Genomic DNA, 15972 nt, shown 5'->3' with positions numbered 1-15972 from the left:
GGTGGTCGTTAGAGGCTAGGGTGAGAGGGCAACAGGGAGACAGTGTGCTCTTGTTTAATAGGGGCAGAGTTTCAGTTTTGCAAAATGAAAAGAGTTCTGTGGATCGACGGTGTGACAGCAGCGCCACAATGTGAATGCACTCAACACTGAACTGTTCCTTAGAAACGGTGAATACGGTGAATTTCATGTTATATGTATTTTACCACAGTTTAAAACATAAAAAATTGCACAAACCAACACAAAAAGTCAAGTATCTCACAGGTTTCTTTCTAGGATGTACATGGTGATGGCAATGTTCTGAAAGTGGCTTGTGGTGATGGCTGCACCCCTCTGTAAATATACTGAAATGTGTTGAATTGTACGCTTAAAATGGGCAGGGTTTATGCTGCATAAATTATACTTCTATAAAGCTGTTCAAAGCAAGGAAGCAAAGAAATGCTAAGGTCATGAGGAACCCTGTAGTGTGACGGGTGCACTTAATGTCTTGGTTGTGGCAATGGCTTCACAGGTATATCCATGTTCCCAAACCTAGCAAATGATGTACTTTGGACATGTACAGTTTTACTGTATGTCAACTATACCTCAATAAAGCTGCATTTTAAAAAAAAGCAGCATAGTTATCCACATAAGAATGAACCCCTTATATTTTATTAAACAATGCCCCTTTTGATGGGCATTTAGGTTTCAAATGTTATGCCACTACAAATAATACTTCAATAAATACCTTTGTATGAAAAAAAAGAAATAGAGATATTGTGCATCCTCCTCCTCCCCCACTGGCAAGTCACAAAATTAGAATCTCCCATGGAGGGGCCCCGGGAACCTGTAATTTTACTGAACAGTCCCCCTCAAATTCTGATAATCAGACATGTTTAGGGAAACACTGGCTCGGACTTCACAGATTTGGCTTTTCAGGCGCTTATGTGTTAAGAGCGTCTACTTGGACACTGAGTTTCAGGCTCTACAGACATTCTCTTGATGCCATGTGCCGTCAAGAAGGCAGAGACCTGGGCATATGAAGAAGTCTGGCCCAGGTCACAGAGCTAGGAAGGAGCAGCGTGCTCATCTACCTAAAAATGAAATCCACCTCTGCATTTTCAAAAGCACACCTTGTTTTCCGCCTCCTCTCAGGAAGTTGCACATTTTTGGAAAACTGGTTCTATGTGAGCCAAGATGCAACTCCAAGAAATGCCCAGAAGAGGGTGCTAAGATTCTCTCCTTCCTGGGACCCGCCAGAATGACTCAGAACTCCACAGGGTCCACTCTGTCTCTGCTGCCTGTGTGCAGCGTGCGATCACAGTGGCACCAATGTGGATAAGCGCCACCCTGCAGCTGCATCCGAGCGCCGGGCTGCACGAAGGCGACATGGCCCCTCTATCCCCCAGTGGCCCGGACTCACCGGAGGTGGATTTTCAATGACCAGTTCATAGGTCAGCCCTGCAGACCCAAATCTCAGGATGTCTCCAGGGATGAGCTTCACAGCCACGTTTTGAATGTGGCACTCGTTGACAAACGTGCCGTTGCGGGAATTGAAGTCCTGGAGAACAAAGCTGCACTCCGCCTCGTTATATTCAATGAGTGCATGGTGGTTGTCGATGTCAGGAGACTGCAACGGAGAAGGAGGACAGTCGTAGCCATGAAAACAAAAATGACACGGCCCCTAATGTTTTGAGCTGAGTGCCTTACCTGTTTTGCCGCCGCCAGATCATCACGACAATCCTCATTTTAAAAGGAGGAGGCTGAGGATCAGAGAGGTTAAGCGACTTGCCCAAGGCCACACAGCTAGTGTGTGAAGGAGCTTGGGATATGTGCTCTGTCTGACACCAGACCTGGGGACAGGTACCTAAGTTGTTGAGTGGGGAAATCAGGCAACACAAAGGCAAAGGGATCTTGGGAGAGTCATATTGGACAAATATGGGACCAGGGAATTGGCCATTTTCTTTTCTTTTTGTTTTTGTTTTTATTTTTATTTTTTATTTTACCAAAACCGAAAATCGTCAAGGAATTGGCCATTTTCTTTTTCCCTGACTCCACATGGGTATTTATGGTGGTACTCAGTACCAGGACAGGAGGCAAAAATGGCCCAAACAAGAAATAGAGAAAAGTACTAAAGAAGCCATTACCGTTACTTATAATCCCACCCTCACCAGTGGCAGCCATGGTTAACATTGAGGTTCACATCCTTCCACGTTTTTTTTCTATGCTTACGTCCTTTTAAATTTTTTTAAACAAAATTAATCACACCCTACATACATAGTTTTATAACTACCTTTGAAAAACCTTGATGTACAATAAATATTTCCCATGCGATTAGTTATTTCCATTGCTTTTTAAAAGCTATTCAGGATTTGCCTAACCACAGATGGCCCGCTTTTCAAAAGGGGGCTTGGTGTGACCATGTTTCCCCAAAGGAAAGGGGCCCCAGCCAGTGTGTCTGCAAACTGATGGCAAGGGACAGAAGCTCCTCTGTAATTTCACTTTAATAAGAGGACTGAGTGAAGCTCAGCACAAAGGAGGTGACTGCATGTTCCCCTGGTTGCAGGGCCCTGGAGGGATGAAGGGAAATGTTCTGACTGTGAGCTGCAGGGCACACTGAAGTCTTCGTCTTTTATTTTTGAGACAGAGTCTCGCTCCGTCACCCAGGCTGGAGTGTGGTGGCACGATCTCGGCTCACTGCAGCCTCCACCTCCTGGGTTCAAGGAATTCTTCTGCCTCAGCCTCCCGAGTAGCTGGGACTACAGGCATGTGCTACCACGCCCAGCTAATTTTTTTTTTTTTTTTTTTTTTTCCGAGATGGAGTCTCGCTCTGTTGCCCAGGCTGGAGTGCAGTGGTGCGATCTTAGCTCACTGCAAGCTCTGCCTCCCGGGTTCACGCCATTCTCCTGCCTCAGCCTCCCAAGTAGCTGGGACTACAGGCGCCTGCCACCACGCCTGGCTAATTTTCTGTATTTTTAGTAGAGGCGGGGTTTCACCATGTTAGCCAGGATGGTCTCCATCTCCTGACCTCGTGGTCCACCCACCTCGGCCTCCCAAAATGCTGGGATCACAGGCATGAGAGACGGGGTTTCACCATACTGGCTAGGCTGGTCTCAAACTCCTGACCTCATGATCCGCACGCCCCAGCCTCCTAAAGTGCTGGGATTACAGGCGTGAGCCACCGTGCCCGGCCAAAGTCTTCATCTTTTAAGGGCACTGTCAACCAGACATCCATGCCAGCTTGAGACTTTGCAACTATTTTCTAAGTTTATCTTCTCAGGGTGCCCTGTCCAGCTTTTATATAAAAGTACTTGCATGTAGACAACTAAAGTTCCATCATATAACAACCTAGAGCTTATATTAATAATAGAATATATTAATATGTATACTAGAGTAACAATAAAACATATTACTTACACATTACAAGCCAGGAGATTGCTTAGTGCTTTATTGCATTGCCCTATTTCATCTTCACAACAATCTAGAGATAGTTTCCCATTTGGTAGATAGGGAAACTGAGACACAGAATGAATTTACCCAAAGTCACCCCGCTTGACAAGTCACCTGGCTTGTACTCAGGTTCGCCTGATTCAAATGTCTGTGCTATTAGCCACTTTCCAAGTTTCCACCAAACACTTTGCCACCCAAAATATTAAAATAAAAAAGAAAGCTGAAGTAGCTATACTAACTGCGGCCAAGGCAGTTTCAGAACAAGAAAAACTGGGGATAAAGAGAAGCATTAGGCCAGGTGTGGTGGCTCATGCCTGTAATCCCAGCACTTTGGGAGGCCAGGGCGGGCAGATCCCCTGAGGTCAGGAGTTTGAGACCAGCCTGGCCAACATGGTGAAAACCCATCTCTACTAAAAATACAAAAATTAGCTGGGTGTAGTGGTGCACACTTGTAATCCCAGCTACTCAGTAGGCTGTGGAAGGAGAATCACTTGAACCCAGTAGGTGGAGGTTGCAGTGAGCTGAGACCATGCCATTGCACTCCAGCCTGGGTGACATGAGTGAAACTCAAAAAAAAAAAAAAAAAAGAGAGCCATAAATAATGGTAAAGGGGTAATTCTCCAAGAAGACATAACAATGCTTGATGTGCATGCACCTAACAACAGAGTGCCAAAATACACAAGGCAAAAGCTGACAGAACTGCAAAGAAAAACAGATAAGCCCAATATGACAGCTGAAACTTCCACAACCCTCTGTCAGTAATTAGCAGAGCCAGCAGGCAGAAAATTAGTAAAGGCATAGTTAAACTGAACAACACCGTCAATCAACAAGATCTAATTGATATTTATAGAACACTTAACCCAACAACAACAAGGTGCACGTTCTTCTTGGGCTGACATGGAACACTCACTAAGCTATACCACATTCTGAGCCATAAAACACACCTCAATGAATTTAAAGGAATAGAAATCATGTAGAATATGCTCTCAGACCACAATGGAAGTAAACTTGAAATCAGTAACAGAAAGATAGGTGGAAAATCCCAAAACATTTGGAGATTAAACAACACATTTCTAAATAACACACGGTGAAGGAAGAAATCTCAGGAGAAATTAAAAATTATCTTAACTAAATGAAAATGAAAATACCACTTAAAATTTGTGGGAAGCAGTGAAAGCAGTGCTTACAGGGAAATTTATAGCCTTGAATGCACACATAAGAAAAGAAGAAAGATCTGAAATCAATAATCAAAGTTTCTACCTTAGGAGACTAGAGGAAGAAGAGCAGTATAAGCCTAACATAGACAGAAGAACTGAAAGAAATATTAGATCAGAAATGAATGAAATTGAAGACAATAGAGAGAATCAAAGAAAACAAAAGTTGGTTCTTTGGAAAGATCAATAGAACTGACAAACCTCTAGTAGGTAACCAAGAAAAAAAGAGAGAAGACACAAATTATTGATATCAGACATGAAAGAGAGGCCATCACAGCTGATCCCATGGATATATTTATTATGGAATATTTATATTCTATAATAAATATAGAGTGAACAGGCAACCTACAAAATGGGAGAAAATTTTCACAACCTACTCATCTGACAAAGGGCTAATATCCAGAATCTACAATGAACTCAAACAAATTTACAAGAAAAAAACAAACAACCCCATCAAAAAGTGGGCAAAGGACATGAACAGACACTTCTCAAAAGAAGACATTTATGCAGCCAAAAAACACATGAAAAAATGCTCACCATCACTGGCTATCAGAGAAATGCAAATCAAAACCACAATGAGATACCATCTCACACCAGTTAGAATGGCAATCATTAAAAAGTCAGGAAACAACAGGTGCTGGAGAGGTTGTGGAGAAATAGGAACACTTTTACACTGTTGGTGGGACTGTAAACTAGTTCAACCATTGTGGAAGTCAGTGTGGCGATTCCTCAGGGATCTAGAACTAGAAATACCATTTGACCCAGCCATCCCATTACTGGGTATATACCCAAAGGACTATAAATCGCGCTGCTATAAAGACACATGCACACGTATGTTTATTGCAGCACTATTCACAATAGCAAAGACTTGGAACCAACCCAAATGTCCAACAATGATAGACTGGATTAAGAAAATGTGGCACATATACACCATTGAATACTATGCAGCCATAAAAAATGATGAGTTCATGTCCTTTGTAGGGACATGGATGAAATTGGAAATCATCATTCTCACTAAACTATTGCAAGAACAAAAAACCAAACACCGTATATTCTCACTCATAGGTGGGAATTGAACAATGAGAACACATGGACACAGGAAGGGGAACATCACACTCTGGGGACTGTTGTGGGGTGGGGGGAGGGGGAAGGGATAGCTTTAGGAGATATACCTAATGCTAAATGACGAGTTAATGGGTGCAGCACACCAGCATGGCACATGTATACATATGTAACTAACCTGCACATTGTGCACATGTACCCTAAAACTTAAAAGTATAATAATAATAAAATTAAAAAAAGAAAAGAAAATGTAAAGAACAGCAAATATATATATATTTTTTATATTCCTATTTATATGCTATAAAACATATTTTATATATACCATATTTTTATATCATATCAATATATTTATATTATATTTATAATATATAAAATATTTATTTTATAAATATATGCTATATAAAATTTATATTTATAATTTATATATCATTTATATTATTATTTTATATATTATTTATAATGATATATAAAGGAATATTATGAACAGCTCTCTGTCCACAAATTTGATAACTTAGATGAAATGGACCAATTTCTTGAAAGACACAATTTACCCAAACTCATACAAGGAGGAATAGATGATCTGGGCCCTTATCTATTAAAGAATTTGAATCAATAGTTAATAACCTTCTAAAACAGAAAGCACCAGGCCCAGATGGGTTCCCTGGTGAATTCTATCAGACATTTAAGGAAGAAATGATACCAGCTCCCTACAATCTCTTCCAGAAAATAGAAGCAGGAGGAATACTTCCTAACTTATTCTGTGAGGCCAATATCACCTGAATACCCAATCAAGATAAAGACATTACAAGAAAGGAAAACTAGAAGCCAATATCTCCCATATACATAGACGTGAAGTCTTCAACAAAATATTAGTGAATATAATCCAACAATGTATAAAAATAATTATACACCACAACTAAGTGGGATTTATTCCAGGTATTCAAGAACTGATTTGGCGTTTGAAAATCAATTAATGTAATCCATTGCATCAAGAGGCTAAAGAAAAAAAATGGGGAGATATATTCTTTTATTTGTAATTGCTAAGTGAAATATGATGGTTAAAATCTTTTCATATGCTTATTTGCCATCTGTATATCTTCTTTGGCAAAGTATCTGTTCAGATCTTTTGTCCATCTTTAATTTGGGTTGTTTTCTTATTGTTGGGATTTAAGATTCATTTATTTTGGATGCATGTTTATAGCATCTTTATTCATAATTGCCAAAAACTGGAAGCAACCAAAATGTTCTTCAGAAGGTAAATGGATAAACAAACTGGTAGAAACATCAGTCAATGATAAAAAGAAATGAGCTCTCAAGCCACAAAAAGATACAGAGGAACTTTAAATGCATATTGCTTAGTGAAAAAAGCTAATCTAAAAGGGCTACATATTGTATGATTTCAACTACATGAAACTTTTAAAAAGATAAAACTATAGAAAGATTTGTGGTTGCCAGGGGTCAGGGGAAGGTGGGGGGCTGTGTTGAACAGGTAAGCACAGGGGATCTTTAGGGCAGTGAAACTATTCTGTATGATTCTATATTGGTGAATACCTGACATTATGCCTATGTCAAAACCCACAGAACTTTATAACGTGAAGAATGAATCCTAATGTAAACTCTGGGCTTGAGTTAATAATAACATATGAATATTGATTCATCAATTGCAACAAATGTATCATAGTAACGAAGATGTTAATAATAGGGGAAACTGCGTGTGTATGTGTGAGTGTTGTGGGGGAGGGGTTGTTATATGTGGGAACTCTCTGTACTATCTGTTCAACTTTCTGTGAACCTAAAACTGCTAAAAAAAAAAAAAAGTCTAGGCCAGACATGTTGGCTCATGCCTGAAATGCCAGCACTTTGAGGGGCCAAGTCAGGAGGCTTGAACCCAGGAGTTCAAGATCAGCCTAGGCAACATAAGGAGACCCTATCTCTACAAAAATGAAAGAATTAGCCAGGTGTGGTGGTGCACACCTGTGGCCTTAACTACTTGGGAGGCTGAGGTGGGAGGATTGCTTTGGCCCAGGAAGTTGGGGCTGCAGTGAGTCATGATGGCACCACCACACTCCAGCCTGGGCAACAGAGCGAGACCCTGTCTCAAAACAAACACACAAAAATAATAAAGTTTATTAAATAAACATGAAAACATATTCGCCCTTTGGGAAATGCTTCCCACATCATCTTCATCTCCATTCCTACTGACCACATTTCTTTGTGCTCTAAGAACTCTCTCTCTCTTTTTTTTTTTTTTTTTTTGAGATGGAGTCTTGCTCTGTCACCCAGGCTGGAGTGCAGTGGTGCAATCCTGGCTCACTGCAACCTCCGCCTCCCAGGTTCAAGCAATTCTCCTGCCTCAGCCTCTTGAGTAGCTGGGATTACAGGGGCACACCACCACATCCAGCTAATTTTGTATTTTTAGTAGAGACAGGGTTTCACCATGTTAGCCAGGCTGGTCTCAAACTCCAGACCTCAGGTGATCTGCCCGCCTCAGCCTCCAAAAGTGCTGGGATTACAGGTGTGAGCCACCGCACCCAGCCTATGAACTCTTAATAACTCATCAAAGAGATAAGTTCTATGTGTTACATTTTGTTTTTCTCTTCTCAAATCCCATTACTTTCAGCTCCTCAGAAGCTGTCAAGCCGTGATTAAGAAATCAAAGCCAGGAGGAAGTTTTGGATGATACCACAAAATGGGACAAGCCTCTGCCTTGTGTTAGGCCAAGGGAGAGTTTCTGAGGACTGCCTGATAATACCACTCCCTCCTGTATTTAGATAACTGCAAAAAACTGATGTTAGTAGAAAGCTCTGCTGCCAACATAGGCTGAATGTACAAGCTCCACTCTGCTGAACTGTCTCATTATGAGATTAACTGCTGTTCTGTTTTTATTATTATTATCAGCTAACATATTTTGAGAAGTTCCTGTGAACTGGGCCTTACCAAAGCACTTTGTGTTCATTCCCTCATTTAATCTGCAAAACAGCCCTTTACAGGGAGTTCTACTATAATCTCCATATTACAGATGGAGAAGCTGAGACTCAAAAGGCGAAGTAAGAGACCAGCATTACCCTGTCAGTAAAACCAAAGACATTATAAGAAAACTACAGACCAATATCCCTAATGAATACTGATGCAAAAATCTTCAACAAAATATTAGCAAACGTAATTCAACAGCTTATTAAAAGGATTATACACCATGACCAAGTGGGATTGATTCCTGGAATGCAGGGATGGTTCAACATGAAAATCAATCTGTGTAACATAATGCATTAACAGAATGAAAAGGAAGAACCACGTGACTATCTGGACTGATGGAGAAAAAGCACTTGGCAAAATTCAACACTCTTTCCATGATGAAAACACAAAAAAATACTAGGAATAGAAGAAAACTACATCAACATAATAAAGGCCATATGTGAAAAGCTCATAGCTAACATAATTCTCAGTGGTGAAAGACTAAGACTTTTCCTCTAAGACCAGGAATGAGATAAAGATGCCCACCCTCACCACTTCTATTTGAAATAGTACTGGAAGTCCTAGTCAGAGCAGTTAGACAAGAAAAAGAAGTGAAAGGCATTCAATATATCCCAGAAATAAAATTACCTGTATTGTTGGACAACATGATTTTTATATGTAGAAAGCCCTAAAGATCACACACACACACACACACACACACACACATATATACATATAACACTGAATTCATAATAAATGATACAAAATCATTTATTTTGTACTCAGGATACAAAATCAGCATGCAAAAATCAGTGGTATTTCTATACACTAACAATAAACAAGCTGAAAAGTAAAATAAGAAAGCCATTCCATTTACAATAGCATCAAAAAGAAGAAAATATTAGAAATAAACTTAACCAAGGAGGCAAAAGACTTGTACATTGAAAACTACACAATGTTGCCGAAAGAAATTAAAGAAGATACAAATAAATGGAAAGACAACCCATGTTCAAGAATTGGAAGACCTAATATTGTTTAGAACATCAATACTACCCAAGCAACCTACAGATTTAATGCAATCTTTATCAAAATTCCAATGGTGTTCTTTTTTCCCAGAAATAGAAAATTTTATTCTAAAATTTATATGGATTCTCAAAGGAACCCTGAAGAGCCAAAACAATCTTGAAAAAGAAGAACAGTTGGAAGTGTCATACTTCCTGGTTTCAAAAGTTATTAAAAAGATAGGGTAATCAAAACACTGTGGGCTTAGCATTTATGCCAGACACATAGACAGTGAAACAGATTAGAAAGCCCCCATATAAACCTTTGCATATATGGTCAAATGATTTTCGACAAGGGTGTCAATACCATTCAATGGTGGAAAGGACAGTCTTTTCAACAAATGATGCTGGGAAAACTGGATATCCACATGTATTAGTAAAAGAATGAAACTAGGCTGGGCACAGTGGCTCACGCCTGTAATCCCAGCACTTTGGGAGGCTGAGGCGGGCAGATCACGAGGTCAGGAGATCAAGACCATCTGGGCTAACACAATGAAACCCCGCCTCTACTAAAAATACAAAAAATTAGTTGGGCGTGGTGGCAGGTGCCTGTAGTCCCAGCTACTTGGGAGGCTGAGGCAGGAGAATGGCATGAACCCGTGAGGCGGAGCTTGCAGTGAGCCGAGATTGCGCCACTGCACTCCAGCCTGGGCGACAGAGCGAGACGCTGTCTCAGACAAAAAAAAAAAAAAAAAAAAAAAAAGAATAAAACTGGACCCTTAACTTACACCATAAACAAAAATTAGTTCAAAATGGATCAAAGACCTAAACATAAGAGCTAACACTATAAAACCCTTAAAAGAAAACATAGAAGAAAAGCTTCCGGACAATAGATTTGACAGTTATTTCTTGGCAATGACACCAAGAACACAGGCAACAAAAGTAAAAATAGATAAACTGGAATACATTAACATTAAAACTTCTATATATCAAAGGATACACTCAACACAGTGAAAAGGCAACCTACGGAATGGAAGAAAATATTTACAAATCACATATCTGAAAAAGGGTTAATCTCCATGATATATAAAGAACCCCACAACTCAACAGTAACAAAACAAAAATAACCCTATTAAAAAATGTGCAAAGGATTTGAATGGACTTTCTCCAAAGAAGATACACAAATGGCCAACAAGTATATGAGAAGAATGCTCAAGATCACAAATCATTAAGAAATTCAAATCAAAACCACAAGGAGATACCACTTTGCACCCTTTAGGATGGCTACTATAAAAACACAGAAAATAAGTGTTGGCGAGGACGTGGAGATGTTAAACCCTCGTGCACTGTGGCTGGGAATGTAAAATAGTGCAGCCACTGTGGAAACAATATTGTGGTTCCTCAAAAATGTAATAATAGAATTACCATATGATCCGGCAATGCCACTTCTGGGTATATATTCAAAAGAATTGAAAGCAGGGTCTCAAAGAGACATTTGTACAGTCGTGTTCCTAGCAGCATTATTCACATTATTCACAGTAGCCAAATGGTGAAAGCAACCCAGGTGTCCATGGACAGACAAAAGATAAACAAAACGTGGTCCATCCAAACAATGGATGTTATTTAGCTTTTAAAAGAAAGGAAATTCTGCCACAACGTGGATGAACCTTGAGAACATATGCTGGTGAAATAAAGCAGTCACAAAATACATGTTGTGGCTCACACCTGTAATCCCAGCACTTTGTGAGGCTGAGGTAGGAGGATTACTTGAGCCCAGGCGTTAGAGGCCAGCCTGGAAACATAGTGAGACCTCGTTTCTAGCTCTCCTACTTCCTAGTGGGGTGACCCTGGGCAAGTGATCTATTCCCTTGGGACCTCAGTTTCCTCATCTGTAAACAGAGATAATAGCAGAATGGCCCTTATGGGTTTGTGGTGAAGAATAAATGAAACAGTATATATAAAAAGCACTTAGAAGAGTATTTTAGCCCAATAGCAGGTGTTAAAATGTTCACTATTATGCGCAGAAGGATGGGCTCTGCACTTAGAAAGCTCTGAGTTCAAGTCCCACCTCTGCTGCATTCCTGCTGTGCAGCCTGGGACAAGTTTCTTTGCCTCTCTGAGGCTGCTTCCTATGCTGCAAAAATGAGTGTGATAAGCTCTACCTCAAAGGACTGACAAAAGATACTATTTGGCAAAATTTTCAGTGTGGTGGGATAACATTTTTGAAATTAACTGGTGTGTGTGTGTGTGTGCGTGTGTGCTAAAAACACAGGGGCTTGCTATGTTGCCCAGGCTGGAGTGCAGTAGCTATTTCCAGGCACCATCAAAGCATAATACAGCCTTGAACCCCTGGGCTCGAGTGATCTTCCTGCCTCAGCCACCCAAGTGCCTGGGACGACAGGCACCTGTGTGTATCAAATCATATTTCTTTTTACCTTTTGGTCCTTGGCCATCCTGCGCCCCCACTGTGACCCCTGTCACTGCCTCAGGAAAGGGATGTAATGCAGAAACAGAACAAGCTGGGGTTTTCAAAGGAATAGGGATATGAGGAAATGGCCAGGGCTCTGGTAAGACTGTGAGTCTGGGAGCAGAGGGAAAGAGGAAGTTTGTCGGCTTCCCTCCTGTCAATCAGAGCCTTGCTCAGCTTCTCTGGGAGAGTCTTGAGAAGCAGGCAAGTCCCCGAGAAGACGCTGTTTCAGGCGGTATCTCTGAGAGCTCCCCAGAATCAGTGCTACTCTGAGAGAGGGAGGGGAGAGTTCCGAGAGTCCTGTGTAATGGAGTCTGTGACAGTTCCCCTCGGTGCACTGACGGCTCGAAAGAACCTTGAGCTGAGACAGCAATGCGTGCCCACTTGCTAGGCACTCATGATAGAGCAGCGATTAGTCATCCTCGTGTCCACACCCCCGTTCCGGAAGTCCTCTTTTCCTGAAGCTTCTTGTCCCTGCACGGTCCCAGACAGCCTGACTATGAATCCCACCCTCTGTGCCCGTCATACGTGACCTTGGGCAGGCTCCTTAGTCTGTCTGTGCCACAACTTCCTCATCTGTAAAATGGGGGAAGGGAGATCCCTAACTTGTAGGGTTGCTGAAAGGATTAACCGAGTTAATACACACAAAAGTGCAAACAACAGTGCCTGGCACAAAGTAAACCCACAATAACACAAATGATAGCATCATCCTCTTGGCTCATCCACCATCTTTCTCCACTGTCCCTGGCAGTGACCCTACTGATTCCTCTGAAAAGCTCTCAACATCCCATATTATCGCTTCCCTCTCTATGGCCAGAGTCCAAGCAAGAGATGGTAATAACTGTGATTGGCAGAATGGTCCCACAAAGGTGTCCGTGTCCTAATCCCTGGAACCCGTGAGTGTGCTGCTGCCTTACATGGCAAAGGGATGGTGCAGAAGTGATAACGATGACTCATCTTGAAACAGGGAGGTTAACCTGGATTATCCAGAGGGGGCTAATCTAACCACGTGAGCCCTTAAAAACAAAGAACTTTCTCTGGCTGGAGTTGGAGAGATGAGTCAGACGGGGAGGTCAGAGAAATCTGAAGCATGAGAAAGACTAGAACCATTGTTGCTGGTTTTGAAGATAAAGGGGCCCTGAGCCATGCGGGATTGGGAGGCCTCTGAAGCTGAGGCTGGCCTCCAACCGATGGCCAGTGAGGACACAGAGGCCTCGGTTCTATAGCAGCATCGAGCTAAATTCTTCCAACAGAGTGGGGCTAGAAGCAGACGATTCCCTGGAGCCTCCAGCCAAGAGCCCAGGCGGCCAACACTTTGATTTTGGCCTTGAGTGACCTGGGGCAGAGGAACCAGCTGAGTCCACTCAGACTTCTGACTTAAGGAACTGTGAGATAATAAACACTCATTGTTATAAATAGAAAACGAATACAATAACCAAAATGTACTGTAGTATTAACCACCTGCCAGGCACTGTCCTAAGCACTTCATGGTAATTCAGTCTCGTAACACAGTTCCCCACCATACACACACAGAAGTTGCAGCCGAGAATGGCTGGGTAACTTGCCTGGGACCCTACAACTCAGAGGGCAGAGCCAGGATCACAGGCAAGAGGCCTAGCACCGAGTTCATGCTCTTGACCACCCTGTTCTAGAGCCGCCCTTCTGTTCTTTGTCCACCCATTCTGCCTACGTTTGTCAGTGTTCTCTTCAAAATAACGAAGACAATCAATTTCTCCCCAGCTCAAAGCCTTTTGAGGAGGGGGTTCCATTTTCGCAGCAAGTTAAACATGAAACGCTTAGCCTAGCTTACGTGGCCTTTTTGCATGTGGGTGGCAGGGCCATCCAGCCCTCATCATGCCATGCCAAGTGCTTCAAGCAACACCTCCGGATCTTTGTGTGCGCTGTTTCTTACACCTGGCAGGGAGAGGGGGGCCCTTTCTGGCCTGTCATACCTGGCAAACCAGGCTTTCTCTTGTAAGAGGCAGCTCCAGCTTGGTCTGCTCTGAGGAGCTGTCCCCGACACCTGAGACAGGATCCTCGTGGGTCATCCACGCAGCCCTCAGCACACCTCTTCCCAGGAAAACACCTGCAGCCTGGGTCGACATTTCCTCTTTACCCCAATCCCACACTGAGGGCGCCACCTCAGTTTGTTGCATCGATGAGGATCACAGGAAAAGTGATTTTCGCTGTTCTGCTGATAATCCCCACCTAGGAGTCCAAACTGTGGGATTTCCCACTACCGATTATCTTAACTGACTCACAAGGAATTTCAGATATTTAGATTTTTAGATGTTCCCTAAAGCCAAATTTACAACCAAACAATGAAGTATCTTTGAGTAGAAGCGTTGCATCAGACAGCCCCAAGTCTGAAACTCAGCCCCACCGTCCCCGACTAGATGTGTGATTTGGGGCAAGTTATTTAACCTTTCTGAGCCCCATTTCCACATCTTTACATGAGGATAATAACGATAATAGTAGTTCTCGCCTGATAGGGCTGTTTGAGGATAAAGCTCTGTAACACATACACGGCATATACATAGAACACATACAAAACCACACGAGATGCCTCATAACTAGTCTATACATGGGGGTGTGGCCGTTTGTATTATCTGTGCTAGTCAAAAGAACCTTGAGCTGAGACAGCAATGTGTCTCAGAAGATTATGATCTTCTACCTCACTCTCATTAGGATGGCTACTGTAAAAACAACCACCACCCCCAGAAAATACCAAGTGCTGGTGAGGATGTGGGGAGACTGGAGCCCTTATGCACTGTTGCTGGGAAAGCAAAATTGTGCAGCCACTGTGGAAAACAGTATGGCAGTTCCTCAAAAAATTAAAAATAGAACTGTCATCTGATCTGGCGGTTCTGCTTCTCTTCTGGGTATGGATCTGAAAGAACTGAAAGCAGGGGCTTGAAGAGATATCGGTGGTGGCTCACACCTGTAATTACAGCACTTTAGGAGGCCGAGGCGGGCGGATCACCTGAGGTCAGGAGTTTGAGACCAGCCTGGCCAACATGGTGAAACCCAGTCTCTATTAAAAATACAAAAAAATTAGCCGGGCGTGGTGGTACATGCCTATAGTCCCAGCTGCTCAGGAGGCTGAGGCAGGAGAATCACTTGAACCCGGGTGGCAGAGGTTGGCAGTGAGCCGAGATTGTGCCACTGCACTCCAGCCTGGGCAACAGAGCGAGACTCTGACTCCATTAAAAAAAAAAAAAAGAGAGACAGAGATATCTGGACACTCATGTTTATAGCAGCATTATTCACAGCAGCCAAAAGCTGGAAGCAACCCAAGTGTCCATTGACAGATGAATGGATCAACAAAATGTAGGACAGACATGCAGCAGCCACTATTCAGCCTTCAAAAGGAAGGGAACTCTGACACATGCTGCCACAGAGGAACCTTAAGAACATTATGCCAAGTGAAATAAGCCAGTCACAAAAGACACGTACTATACGATTCAGCGTATAGTATAGTCTATGAGGAACCTGCTACAGGCAAATTCAGAGACAGAAAGTACTTTGTCAGAAAGACGGTGGCTGCCAGGGACTGGGGGGCTGGGAGGGGAAGGGGAATTCTTCTTCAATAGGTACAGAGTTTCAGTTTTGCAAGATGAAGGGAGTTCTTGTGGATGGATGGTGGTGGCAGAGTAACAAAGTGAGGCCAGGTGCAGTGGCTTGCACCTGTAAGCCCAGCACTTTGGGAGGCTGAGGCAGGTGGATCACCTGAGGTAGGGAGTTCGAGACCAGCCTGGCCAATGTGGCGAAACCCCGTCTGTACTAGAAATACAAAAATTAGCCAGGCATGGTGGCTCATGCCCATAATCCCAGCTACTCAGGAGGCTGT

The 15972-nt window shown here is 42.5% G+C and overlaps 1 protein-coding gene across 40 annotated transcripts in view, besides 2 other annotated features; it reads right to left on the bottom strand.

The window, feature by feature from the left end:
- FHAD1 (forkhead associated phosphopeptide binding domain 1) overlaps window positions 1–15972 on the bottom strand; it is a 166490-nt gene that overhangs the window by 129082 nt on the left and 21436 nt on the right. For 37 of the 40 annotated variants that reach the window (XM_047443734.1, XM_017000198.3, XM_017000199.3 and 34 more), the window contains exon 3: window positions 1400–1606. The exons of 2 other annotated variants lie outside the window; for them this stretch is intronic. In XM_047443734.1, coding sequence (XP_047299690.1) covers window positions 1400–1606 — 207 coding nt within the window. Of the gene's footprint in view, window positions 1–1399; window positions 1607–15972 lie in introns of those variants that run through there. One more of the 40 variants, XM_011540592.2, reaches the window with a different exon arrangement.
- Window positions 12142–12436: a silencer, noted in NCBI's record as "tiled region #5897; K562 Repressive DNase unmatched - State 20:ReprD". NCBI's record gives its function as "represses a minimal TATA promoter and a strong SV40 promoter by Sharpr-MPRA in K562 cells {active_cell/tissue: K562}" and the evidence as "EXISTENCE:reporter gene assay evidence [ECO:0000049][PMID:27701403]".
- Window positions 12308–12367: an enhancer, noted in NCBI's record as "active region_233". NCBI's record gives its function as "activates an Ori minimal core promoter by ATAC-STARR-seq in GM12878 lymphoblastoid cells {active_cell/tissue: GM12878}" and the evidence as "EXISTENCE:reporter gene assay evidence [ECO:0000049][PMID:35858748]".

The sequence above is a fragment of the Homo sapiens genome, chromosome 1 (assembly GCF_000001405.40).
Source record: "Homo sapiens chromosome 1, GRCh38.p14 Primary Assembly".
NCBI lineage: Eukaryota > Metazoa > Chordata > Mammalia > Primates > Hominidae > Homo > Homo sapiens.
This window is presented reverse-complemented; position numbering and strand designations above follow the sequence as displayed.